Here is a 13,986-nt window from a genome sequence, read left to right as displayed (position 1 = left end):
GGTGTTATTCTTTTTTCTTTCCATTTACAATGGAAACAAAAGGAGAGCAAGAAAGAAGATTGTGAGGTTCCTTGCAGATTCCTAAATCATATTCCCAAACAGCTCCTGACAAAGAGGAGGAAGACAAAGAGGAAGAGCAGGAGGGAGGGGAGGAGAAGGAAGAGGTGTAGAGAGAGGAGGACAAAAGTAAGAAGGAGGAGATAAAGAGGATGAGGAGGAGGAGAAGGAGGAGGAGGAGGAAGAGGGGGAGGAAGAAGAGGAGGAGGAGGAGGAGGAAGGAAATTATGAGAATGCCTAGCCCTCATCATCTGTTCAATGCTAGTAGCAGAAGCGAAACATATTAGGCAAAACCATATGAAATTGCATTTTTGTGGGTCAATATGGTCAAATATCAGCAAGTGGCCTTGGCTGTACCCATCTTTCTCCCCAACTTTCCACCCTTGAGATGAGTTTCTCACTACCACAGGACTCCGCACCGTCTCAGTACAGCAGATGAGTCCAACAACAGCACTGGCCATGGATCCTGTCCCCTTCACAAAGTCACTCTGGCCAGGGACAGCATGAGAAGCACACAACTACACTCCCCAGAGCCTAAAAATGCCATTCCGGGTGGCAGCATCCATGATGACTGTTGGGATCACACAGCGAAAAAATCAAGAGGGCCAGTTTCCGTAGACAACACACATTTAAATGAAGAATCTGTTAGAGCTGCCATTGGATTGCAGCATGACTGCTTGAATAAAACATTATTTTCCTTATACAGGATAGAAAATTTTGGAACACGAAAAATGCTGTACTTCTCAAATTTTATTGCTTAAACGCTCAATTTATGTAAGGAATTTTAAAGCTAAAAGTAAATACAATGTAGCTCAATTAACATTTAGCCTCATTATTTTTCTGTAGGTTTTTAAACATGTACATATTTGCTCCTCTAGTCAAAGTGTTAATTTGCTAAGCTCTATAAAGATATTTCTCTTGAAAAGTAAAATGGATATACATGGGTCTGTTACTAGATTAGCAGAATGACAGAGTATTTTTGAGTATTGTGTAATGGCCTGTTAAAATACAATAACAATGAAAGTAAACTATTAGTCTTGCTCCTGGTGCTACCTTATCTTAATTAATAAGTGTGGAACTGACATTTCAAGAGACAGGAAGAATGACAATAAGCCCCTTCGCCATCTTATCATGCCCAGAGCTTATAAACCAGGGGAAAGTGAACTTTACTATTTAGTCATGACAAGATCATATTATTATAACAGAAGATTCCTAGTCTGAGGGTGCTTTATGGGGACAGGCAAAGAGATCAAAGGTTAGCAGTGCACCCAGAACTTGATTTTTTTTATTTGATATTTTAAATTTTGGAATAATAGAATAAAATAATAGGAGTAAAATAATAAAATGCACTTTATTTATCAAGGGCCCAAATCACAAGAAAATCTTACGGAGAAAATTCACATGAGGCAAACTGTCATTAAGTATGATATTTTCCCTCTCTTAACACGCTAGAGAGGTTCTCTCATCAATGAAGGAATTGCTTTTTAGAGCAATAAAACCCCATGGAATAATTCAATTTGTTCATGTTAGCAGAGGGATTTTCCAATAATTAAATGAGTTTCATGAGAAAGACAGGACACATTTTCGTAGCTATGAATGAGGATTAAACCAATAGAAACTTCCTTCCCTGTTCAGACAAGTAATTTAGTGACAACAGAACACCTTCCCTTTGTGGTCAAGTCACGACAGAATGGAGATACATTTAAGAAAACAAACTACGAGGGAAACCACATTTCAGTTCTGCTCTTGGATGGCAATTTCAGCCAGAGGAGGCCACTCCGGGGATTCACTGCCTGCTTTCTTCTTCCCTTACTTCCTTTCTTCATTGAGGTCTTTGGACCTCACTTTTCTGATTAATTGCTTCATGTTATAAGACTGATTATAAGAATGTTATAAGACATGATTACAAGAATGAAATCATGAGTCACAAGATGCAAGCCAATAGCAGTCTAAACAATGTTGATAACCATTCTGTGGGAAATGGGGAAACCAGCCAAATAAATGGATATGGTAACGATTGCATTTTCAGAGTTAGGATAGCAATCCGCTGGCTTTGCCAGATTCACTTTCTGCCCATTTCTCCTGAAGTGGACTTAAAAACATGTTAAAAGATGCCAAAATGCAGTAATACTACATACAAAAGGTGTCAATTGAAATATTACTAATCTTTGGGAGAAATTGCCCCCAATCTCAAAACAAGATGGAACATATTGAAGATGGAGTAATATCCAGTCATGCCTACACTTCGGAAACCTGATAAAGTGGATAAATGACTGTTAGGCAGCGGCAGTTTTGTCTGGCATATGCATAACAACTTGCTCTTAAGTACCACATCTGAAAAAAAGGGATTCTAGCAGCACCGGGTGGACTCTGAGAGATGACTCTTTCAGTATAAGACACACCTGTACACATATGAAGACTTTCAAAATGTCAAAGACTAAAGCAAAATATTCTCATCAAAAGTCAGATCGGGAATTTAGCTGACTCATAACATTTCATTTCTTAAAAATAAAGAAAGGAAATCTGAGTTACATATGAAAAATGTTTCAGGATGCTAAATCTGGAGGGTGGGTTTACCTTTGTCTAATGCTACAAATCTTTGGAGAGAGGCATTAAGTTTGAAGTATCTCATATTTTACTAACAGCTGGTCTCCCTAGCCAGACTCTCTTTCACAGCTTTAAACTTCAGGAAAAAAATGAAGTTAAAAATTTATTTTTATTCTGAAGGAAATAGGTAGTTACTCATGAATTCTGTACGCAGCCAGATGGCTTTCAGATTTTAAGGCAACTGTAAGTCTTGCTTGGACATGCGAGGTCTCTCAAAATATACCATCCATGCACCAGTTCTGAAAATGTATGTAAATTTATTCCAGTGATAAGTGAGATGAATCAAAAGCAAGAACTTACGCATAGCAGGCAAGTCCAAGGACAGAGGGACAGTGGTGAGCAACTGATCAAGGTGAGGCCATAGAATCACGTCCTAGTAACAGTCGTAAGTGAAGTTGCAAAATTAAACATGCATGTTAAACAGTTTCTGGAAGAATCTATTTACTGTAGCAATCACCGGGGTCTGGAATTCCATGTGACATGAAGAAGGTGGGTGGAGAAAAATGGAACACACTAAGTTTCTCACTATAAATAAGGAAGAATAAAAAATGGTAGTCCTTGAATCCTTTGAGTACATAAGACTTTTCTACCTTCCAGAAATATACCTTCCTCATCACTGGAAAAAATAAAAGCAGAAAATAAGACAAAGAATTCGGGAAACAGGCACAAACATAGAATGTACAAAATATGGCAGAAATTAGCCCAACTATTTTGGTTAAGACAAAAAACATCCTGTTTCAAGAAATTTGCTTCCACTCCACTCTGCCTAAACAGAGAGGCTTATTCTACTTCTGCTGGCTTTGGCCTAGTTGCTTGGTCCTTCCTTTTGGTGTTTCCCAGTCTGTTCGCTTCTTAGCTTCAGAAATTATGCCTTCCTGTAAAATCCATATGCTCAACATATTTTAGTCATAGAGGCTGAAGCCAGTATCCGTAACACCCCAAATCTCACTTGAAGGATTCTCGGGTAAGAGTCAGTCCGAAAAAGATGCGGTTAAGGAGATAGGCTCCTTAGCACCCTTCTCTATTTCACCATCCTAAGGAATGAGGTCAGATAATTTCCTGCGTACACTGATCACCCCTATTTTCTTCCTGTTCAGAATATTCAGGCCTCCAAATCATGGTACATTTATCTTTTCAGCCACTTGCAAGTTCAAGGACAGCAGAAACTATAACGTGGGCCCCCTTAACAGCAGGCATGGGAGAAAATCTAAGTCTTCCCAAGCCCAAATTTCATGTTTCTCCTCCCTGGTAGGCCCAGCCCCTCACAGTCTCTGTAGGACTTGCAGGAACCAATCTTTTGTCAAGAAACTAGTAACAGTCTCCTCTTGTGCTGTTTCTCAAATCATGGCGATGTTCTTGTATTTAGTTATTCCTAGACTTACGATTTATGCTCCTTGAAGAGAGGAACCGTTTCTTACCCTTCCTGATTCCCATTAGATTGGGCACATTTTCTTCTACTTAGAAGGCTGAATAAATATTTGCTAAATGGATTTAAACTTGAAAATTGAACTGCTTGAGTTCACCCTGTGTCAGATTACTCAAGAGGTTAGATGTCAGGTTTTATAATTAGGAAGATGGTCACCTCCGTGATGCCATTACTGTCAGACTAGACAAGAAGGTTCAGAAAGTGTATGTGGGGAGTGGCAGGTGTGGAGTTGGGGGAGCAGTGAAACTCTTTGAAAATACTGGAGTTATTCCACCCAAGGAAGAGAAGGATTAAGAACAGGATGTCGGGATAGCAAGGTGCGCTGGAGAGAGAAAGCATTTATTTCATGTAGAAGGCACAATAATACAAGGTAACAGAATTACATTTGATTGGGCCGAAGAAAGGATTTCTTAACTCAGTGTTAAATGATTAAGACAGGTGCCCTGTAGACTATTTTCCTAGAGAGCTTTCAAAATGGAATTGCCATTTATCCCTTCCAAATGATTTAATCACAGGACTTTCTGGTAAGGTATGTGTAAATTCAATACCCTATTTTATTTGTAATTCTGAGAATCTGTGGTATGAACAACTTCAAATGTGAGCTTTGCAACAACTCAACTCTGAACAATTTGATTTTCTTTTTTAAATACATAGGCCGGAGTCAAGTTCTAAATCAAGTCTTTAGTGTGGATTTAACCAGGTTGCATTTGAGAATACTAGCCAGTGCGTGGCACTAAGTATTGTATATGTTGGAGAAATGTCCAGGAGCGGGCACTCTGGGAGACACAGGAGCAGCCAGGGAGGTTTTCTGCCTTTGTCAGATGCAATGAATTGCATTCACCAGGCCCCTTGTTTAAATGTGTTATGAAAGTGACACAGTGTTTACTTTCCATTATGAGAAAGTACACTGCCGTGCAGGCTTGGAATTAACTGTTTTCATTTGATTACCTAAAGGATAACTCCCTGGGATGTGAGTACAATCATCCCAGTTATTCTCCTGGATACAAAGCGACAGGTAATTAATGGCCCCTTGTGCATCCCGGCAAAGACAAAAAACGAACAGGAACAGCCCTGGGAGTGAGAAGTGTGAAAAGTAAAGGATGAAATCTTAGTTTAATTTTATAGACAATGCATCTGAGGGAGGTGGGAGGGAATCAACCACAAAGCAGTCATAGCCCTTCATTTCCCCTGGCCCTGATCTTCACCCAGAGCTTGGCAGAGACGAGAAGATGCTGTAACAATGCTGTCATGAGGACGGTTGCTTTCCTCTGTGTGTTTGCGGGCAAAGAAAATCATGTTTTCGTCGTAAACAATTATGTGATCTCAATTTGAATTGGAAACAAACACTCTTTCCTCCACAAGTAGCGATGTATTGTCACTCAGAAACCCTCCACTCACTAAGATGAGGAGAGATTTCTCAGCACAAATGACCAACTTGAGAGGACTGAGGCTGAAGTGGAGGGTATTTGTACGACCACTTGTCTAGGCCTGCCCACTTGGACGTGTGTGTATGAGATCTTTATCTACCATCTGATTCAAAGAGCAGACAGAAGCCCCCCAATCTCAGGCTTGAGGAAGTGAGCAGACAATTGCGTCGTGGCACAGAAGCGCGGGTTAAATTCAAGGTTTCATGAAAGGAAACTGATTCACACACAAAGCAAGTGTCTTGTCCAGGAAAGTAACCCACTGTGCTCAGAGACTCACAGAAAGGCCTGTTTGTTTTTTCCCATCTGAGGTTGCTCACCAGATTAGCCCAGGGAGATGGCTCCTCAACCAAGCAAAGGAAAGAGTGGCCCTTGGGTCCAAGCTAGTTGACACTGGAATCAATATCTTTCCTTCTAGCAGAGAGTGAAGGATTCTATTAGAGTCATCTAATAGATGGGATCCTATAGGATCTTCAGGTTGGAAAGTGTAGGAGGTGGTGTTCATTTCTGTGTCTAGCTGGGAAATTCCTGCTGGCGGGCGAGCAATCCCAAGCTTTTTGATTGCCTCAGGCTCTGGTAGAGGCAGGGAGGTCCACTGGTCCCCTCCGTTGGTCTGTTTTCTATCAGCCATCCCCCACTTGGTTTATGAATTTTCTTTTTGGAAGAGTGCATCTTGGTTTCTGGGTTAGGCTGCTAGAAAATTAGATCCTATCTGGATGAATGAATAAAAGAGATGTATGCTCTCAACTACAGGAGGTCAGAGGCTACGCCAGGCTTGCTGAATATAACAGGCACGAAGTAGAATTATTGAATAAATAAAGGAAGGAAGAAAGGAAGCAAAGAAGGAATGTATTCAGCCTCCTCTAAGGATGGCAGTAAAATGGTTCCCTCCTACCCAACTCGTCCATCTCACTCATTATCTTACAGCCTTATCAATTCTCTTTCTCTAAATTTCAGGTTGCTGAGAAAATCTTCCATCCATTCAATTGTGAAAGGAAAATAAATCTCAGGGCCCCCAAATCACTAAGCTAAAGAGAAAAGTCAAGTGGGGAACTGCTCAGGGCAAAACTGCCTTTCATTCTATTCAAAGTCACTCCCCTGCTCACTGAGATAAATGCATATCTGATGTTCTCCTTTGGAGAGGCTAGTCAGAAACTCAAAAGAATGCAACCATTTGTCTGGAATCTACCTACGACCTGGAAGCACTCTCCCCACTTCTCGTTGTCCTGCCTTTCTGGGCTGAACCAATGTTCACTTACCTATGATGATTGATGTCTCATGTCTCCCTAAAATGTATAAAACCAAACTGTGCTCTGATCACCTTGGGCACATGTCATCAGGATCTCCTGAGGCTGTGTCACGGGTGTGTCCTTGACCTTGGCAAAATAAATTGTCTAAATTAACTGAGAGCTGTCTCAGATATTTGGGGTTCACACAAGAAATTGTCAGTCATACTGCCCTGATGATTAAGTTGAAGGAAAGTTGAATTACTGCTTGCCCAGATTACCGCAGTGGCCTCTACTTGTTTAAGGCAAGTCTACATTAGTTGCTCACCTTTATGGAGCCACATCTTTAGATGCCTCCTGCAATAGGACTCTTGTAGAAGGACGCTAACACTGCCAGTACTCTAGAGGAGTGCAAATAAGCCTTCTGGGTGGCATTCAGCTGAGGAAATGCGAGTTCAGGAATTTCAGGTATGATCTGAATCTCCATCCTACATACATGCAACCATGTGTTGCACACAAACACACATGCACACACATAGACCACACACACATTGCATGTGCACAAACGTTGCTCCATTTAAACAAGTGTCTCTTAATTTATATCTGAAATATCACTCTTATCTGGAGTGCATGATGATGCTTTCTTGGTTTTAAAGACAGGAGAAAGAAGAGGAGAACATAAGAGACATGATCCCGTAAGTGGAGAGGCATTCTGGAGAGTAGGAAAACCAATACATACAGGGAGGGTAGGAGTCAGTAAAGAGGCATTTTGACGTTGCACATCTTTGTCCTGCAGACATCAAAAAACCAGAGCCATCACACTGCATTCAGAGTAATCGGCCTCCTAAAACGCGGCACTGTTTGCTACATCTCATTAGAAGACACGCTTGTCCAAGTGTGTGAGAGTCTCTGGCAGGTGAGAATAAAGAGGCAAGGATGGTGTATATTATGTACATAATTCTGATCAGTGGCAGGACATTTTTGGATTCCTTGTGTCTGAGAAGACAATGGCACAGTTTAGCACAGAAGTGCAGGTTAAACTTAAGGTTAACCCAAACTTAACTGTGAGGGTTGAATGCTACCTCACCACAGCATAGCACAATGGGAGCGCTCTCTTCCTCCTAAGCATAACCCTGCTTCTTCCCACCTCCCATTCTCCTAACATATTTATAGGGGAAGGTATTTCTCCAGTTGGTATTCAAATGGAAGCTGACATTGAGTTTGGTGCTTTTTTATGTGGTCCTTTGCACAAACCCTGGGATTAGAATAAGCCTCATAAAAAATGATTCTAAACCTCCCCTCTGCCCAGCTGACACCTGTGAAGCACAATTGTGTTTTAATGACAACACTTTGGGATGGCTCAGGTACACATAACGCCATATGCAAGGCTTTCAGATGGTGGCAAATGCCATCAGTACTTACAATCCCTGTAGGTAGGTTTTCTCTTGCTGTGTTCAAGTTTGAATGGAATATAAATGCACCATTAAGGCTGCCCTAGAAGTACAGAGAGCAGTTGTTGCATAGTTAAGCGAAAAGGCAGCATTTTATGTCTGATAGAGCAGTCATCTTGCAAACAGCAAATTGGTAGAGAGAGGCAGAGGGAAGAGATGTATGGAGAGTAACCTCAACAGAAGAGGGAGATGGAAGTCTGCAAGTTCCTTTTAAATAACATACTGTACTTTATCAAGCTTTTAGAGAAAAAAAAATGCAGATTCTTTTCTAGGATTAGATGTAAGGTGCTTATCCCTCATCCTCCCACCCCAGCACAGGCAGGAAAGCCACTATGATCACCACCACCATTGTTAGTAAGAAAGAGGGAAGAGGAGAAACAACCCTCCTACGCTACAGTAAACAAAGCGAGTTTAGCCCATCACAGTGAATGATGAATGGCTTCGCATCACTTTCCTAGGGAGAGAGAAACCAAAGATTGTGTATCAATTTTTATAATTTTAAGGCTGAAAGATAATAACTCTGTAATAACTCTGCAGAAATGGAGCAGACTATATAAAAATCCCCTCTGAAAATGTGATTACACGTAAAAATCCATAAAAATGTACAAAGTGATAGATGAACCAAAACTAAACAAATGCAGTTTTTTATCCTTTTGGAACTGAGCAGAAATAGCATATGTAGAGAGAATGATTTTATTTTGTATTTTTAAAAGAAATATTTGGAACTTAATTGAATTATACTTCTGCTGGGAATTGAAATTTTCAGACGGAATATCGGATTTTATTTTAAATTGAATTCCACATTGAAGAGATGAAGAACGAACCATCAGTGAAATATTAACAATAAAGTTGACACATTTCAATAAACAACAAAAGAAGCTGAGCATAATATAAGCTAGACAGTTTCTTCCTACACTTTCCTAAACCCCCAAAGGGTCTATATTAACTATTCTTGATAATTTGGATAAGGAAATCATCTTTGATCAATTTTAATGAAATCTAGTTTACATTTATATTTATTTCTAGAGATTCTTAAAACAGATCAAAATTAAATCCTTTTCTTGTGGTCACCCTGATGAATGTACTGTTTCCTTTACACCTTCAACGTCATATTATTAGTGAATCTAGAACAGGTATTGAAATGCTTGTGTCATTCTGCATGTTCCTCAGAAGTTACCAAGTTAATCCTGGATTCTACATACTCCATCTTTCCAATATATATTATTTTTATTAAATGATTTTGTTTGAGTTGAGCCTTCAGGAATTTCACGACTTCCCATTAGGTAAATTTAACCAACATCAACATATATTATGAAATGTGCTTACATTTTTTGCATTTACAAATCACACTAACAATTTGTTTAATAATTAGGGTTGATGAGAACAATGCTTTTCTTCTCTCAACTTTGAAAATCTTGTATCAGAAGTCCTTAGAGATCTATTTATAAATTTTTAACTCATAGTTATCAGCTGGTATGGACATCCCTGTATAGTATAATCAAGGTTTTTTTTTTTTTTTAACCATTTTCCATGGAATCTGGGTAAAGTGCATTATTAATACAGTGCGTTCTTTCTTTTTTATTTTCTTTCTTTCAAGAGACAGAGTCTCTTTGTCACTACTCTTTCTTTTAAGAGACAGAGTCACTTTGTCACTACTCAAGTCACTCAGGCTGGAGTGCAGTGGTGCAATCATGGCTCACTGCAACCTTGAACTCCTAGGCTCAAGCAATCCTCCTACCTCAGCCTCCCAAGTAGTTAGGATTAAGGCATGTGCCACCATGCCTGGCTAATTTACAAAAACATTTTTTTTTGGAGAGGCAGGGTCTTGCTACGTTGCCCTGGCTGGTGTCAAACTCCTGGGCTCAAGCGAGCCTGGCTGCCTCTGCCTCCCAAAGTGCTGGGATTATAGGCATGAGCCGCTGTACCTGGCCAGAATCATTTTAATATATAATTTCAGCACATTATTTACATCAACTAGATATAGGGCAAATACAGAGACTAAGTTAGCAGCATCCCAATCAAAGCTGTATTTTTAAATGGCTGTAAGGAAGAGCAATGTGCCACCTGCCCGCATCAGCTTTGCTCACAGGAAGCTGTTTCCTCCACACCCCCAGAAAGAAGGCTGGACAAAGGGGTGAAGGTCTGGAAACCGACAAGGAGGATTCAGAGAAGGGACAGGGAGAACTGGATAGGGACGATGGGTTGGAAAAATAAATTCCAGAGCAAAGAGAAGTTGGAGAGATGAACAGATCTTCGATTTATTGCTAATTTAATTAATATAGGATGACTCTACAACCTTGGTTAAAAACCCATTCAAGTTGTATAAACTTCCACCCTTCATGCAGCCCCAATTTTGAATAGGAGAGCCTTGGTAGGAGGTAACAATACGCTTGGGGCACTGATGTGCCTGTTATCAACAATATGAACTGCAATTCATCTTACTAAACACCTTGGACAGAATCCAGCTTGAGACTCAGAAGGCTCTTTGGGATAAAAGATGTTGTCACTAAAGAAACCCTGTTTGCTTATCAAAGCAAAGGCAACCAATTAATAGTTTTATCACTAATACTGTTACCCCGAGGGCTAAAATTAAGTTTATTTATTTATTTTAAGTTCAACATCCTAAATTCCACCCTAATGCACAACAAGGTACGGCTCGTATTACAAATGAATAACTTAATTAAAAAACATTGATTTTGCTCATTGACTGCTGCAAATTTTATTAAATATTAATGATAACATTTTGTATTTTTTATACTAGTCATGAAAGTTTTATGCACTCTCTCCCCTACAGCAGCCTTAGATTTCATGACAAAATCTTAGGCAGCTCAAAGTACAAACATAAATATTGCATTGGCCAGCTTGGTACAATATATGTGTGTACATAAGCCGATAAAAGGATGTGTGTACATTTACCCAAATGTGAGTGAGTGAGGAAAGCTGACATGAGGCAAGCAAGGGAGAAACTTGAATGGTGAAAGTTTATGTTTTATTTTAACCACCAAGAAAGGTCACCCAGAAAGAAAGTCCTGGAACCAGCGTCCCATGAGACAAGACCTCAGAACCTCTCACCACATGTGTCCTTTCCCCAAACTCTGCATATGGAATTCAAGGCACAAAACATTGCTCCATAAACCACATGATTTTACAGGTTTCAAGTCTATGGCAAGAGGTTTCACCAGAAGGACAAAATTCTCTTCTTTCCTCACCCCATGGGTGCAAAAAAAATTTTTCCATAAAAGCCACCAGGCTATGGGAGAGCCTTTAAAATTTTTGCAGTTTTTTGTTGTTGTTGTTGTTGTTTTGCTTCTGTGGGTTTATTTTACATGTTTACATTAGAGTCGGCACAGCCTTGCATTGTTATCTGTCTAGATGGACTAGAAGTCACCCTTATCTGGTTTTCTCCAAGCTTTTAATGGTAAGCATAAATGTTTGGGATCAGCTGACAGCTGTGTGCAGTGAATCAGGCAACATCATCATTCGGAATGTTTTTCTATTATTTGGAAAATTGTACTTAAAAAAATCCATAAAGCACTCAGTAGAACATCGTTTCTTTGAACTTCAGCAGTGACTGATTTTTTTTCTTCCTTTGTATCTCAAAGTCATTTAAAAACAAGTGAGAAGTTAATTTGTTGAGATCATTTCCTCAAATCACCTCCCAGGTCAAAAAGACAGCTCTGGCCTCTGCGTTACACAGTCTTTCCAAAACGTAACCAACTTCCTTAGGGATACAATCATAGCAACCCAGACTTGAAAACAAAGCCGGAGTCTGATTAAGTACTTGCCAAAAAGATTCCAACCATAGTCTACATAGTTTGCAAATACCCACATGGGGAAGGTTGAGGGAGAGAGGAAGGGAAGGACAGGAGCTTTCCAAAGGAAATATTTCACATGGAAAATATCAAGCATTTTCTAAAATGAGTAATTAAAGGACAGGATAGAATATCTTTAAGATATAAGCTTCTTTGAAATGCAAAATAGAAATTTTTGTCAAATAGGCAACGGAAGATAATATGTGAAAATCAATGTACTCAATATTATAGCTCCTATAATAGGAGACTTAGGGACCTGAGAATACGTTTGCATGTTTCAGCATTGTATTCGTTTGGGCTGAATTATCAAATTTCTGGCAATGTTTGCCTCTTTTCACTACTTCCTCTCTCCTTCAGCTCCCAGTGGTCCCTGGAAAGCCCATTTCTCTCCTCGCTCCTGGGTCCTCGTGCTGCTGGTGGTCTCAGGTTCTTTTACGTCCCCTGGTTCCATCCCAAAAGTCCTTCCTAGAAGTCTTTCGAAATGCCTGAATTGGGATTTCTTTCTTGTCTTCCTTCCTTCCCTCCTCCTCTTCCTCCTTCCCTCTTTTCCATTCTTTTTCCCACTAGGTCTCTAGACCTCGTGATCTGCCCTCCTCAGCCTCCCAAAGTGCTGGGATTGCAGTCCTGAGCCATTCCCGCTAGGTTTCTAACACAAGCAAAGAAGTTGTAGCTTCCACGAGGTGTGCTTTTCAGACTGTGTTATGTAAAACAACTCCAGACGTCAAGTCACAGGTGGCTTTAAAAAAGAAATCTTCTAAAGAAAATAAACAAGGTAGAAACCATGACATTAGATGTGGCGCATAGATTTTTAGTGAATTTAAAGATGTGCAAAATGCCAGCCAGTGACATCAGTATCATTTCCCTTTCTGTTGTGGAATGAAGTTTCTTTTCCTAATGAGGAATGCTCAGGGAAACAGAACAAAGCTAAAAAGAAAAGAACCCTTCTTTGCAATGGCATTTGACACTGGACCCCAGGGCATGGTTTGACACATTTTGAAAGTACCAGTGTCCCCAGCTCAGCTTGACTGCGAACCGGCTCTACATAGCCACCTTTAGTCCTCCCAGGGAATAAATTAAATCTGCATCTTGACTGTGTTGCCTGGAAGAGACTGTTCAATTATTTATGGCGCAACAGCAGGGAGTTGCTCTTCTCTGCAAGTTGCGGGGTGGGGGTGGGAGCGTACACTGCCTCTTGTCTACTTCGGGCCACTGCGTTAGTGAGTCCGGTAATGTCTAGAGAAAATAACAAGGCTGGAGGCAACTAAGATATATTAACGAACAAGAGGCAGTAAATCCCTTTTTACTGTTTGGAGACTGTGCTCAGGCCAGCGCGACTGTCACCGTGCTCTGGTGCTGCCTGGGATGTGGCAGGTGTGCACTCATGCCTGACCGCAGAAGGCTGGGCGGGCGGTGGGTTAAAGACCACACGGATTTAAGGTTGAGGTTTTAAAAATGGAAATAAGAAGAAACTCAAGAATGTGTAACCAGAGAATTTACTAATTGGAGACTTCTGCTTCCCATTTTTGGTCCTAATTCTCAGACTCAGTGTCATAACAGCTTCATGTTGAGAATCAGAAGACCCAACTCTGGGTCTCAGAGGGCTGACTTCCTGAAAGTTTTTGTTATTTACTGGTATTTCGGAAATCACTGAAGCACAGAGTCACTTGGAGAGCCACACCGGCGTTTCCATGAGGGTGAGTCTTTGCTATGGAGACTTAGACCCTGGTCCCTGCTGTCCAAATTGTTTCAACATGGAAAAAATAAATAAATAAAACTAAGGTATAATTATTGAGAAGACTTAAATATATATACCCCGAGATAGGCAATACATTTACATGTCAAAGTGAAATAATCTCAATGACTTATGGCCTTTTTTTATATATACCAAATGTCCCTAAATTTAACGTACATATCTTTTAAAGTATATTTATTAAATTCTATTCCTTTTCTTGAAATAATCTTTAATAAAAATTTTAAAGATGG

General features: G+C 40.1%; 1 protein-coding gene across 24 annotated transcripts in view, besides 1 other annotated feature; it reads right to left on the bottom strand.

The window, feature by feature from the left end:
* The window catches only part of CELF2 (CUGBP Elav-like family member 2), an 874,126-nt gene that overhangs the window by 452,525 nt on the left and 407,615 nt on the right, over positions 1-13,986 (bottom strand). The gene's annotated exons all lie outside the window — the stretch shown is intronic.
* Positions 13,379-13,428: a silencer, noted in NCBI's record as "silent region_2122". NCBI's record gives its function as "represses an Ori minimal core promoter by ATAC-STARR-seq in GM12878 lymphoblastoid cells {active_cell/tissue: GM12878}" and the evidence as "EXISTENCE:reporter gene assay evidence [ECO:0000049][PMID:35858748]".

The sequence above is a fragment of the Homo sapiens genome, chromosome 10, assembly GCF_000001405.40.
Source record: "Homo sapiens chromosome 10, GRCh38.p14 Primary Assembly".
Lineage (NCBI taxonomy): Eukaryota > Metazoa > Chordata > Mammalia > Primates > Hominidae > Homo > Homo sapiens.
This window is presented reverse-complemented; position numbering and strand designations above follow the sequence as displayed.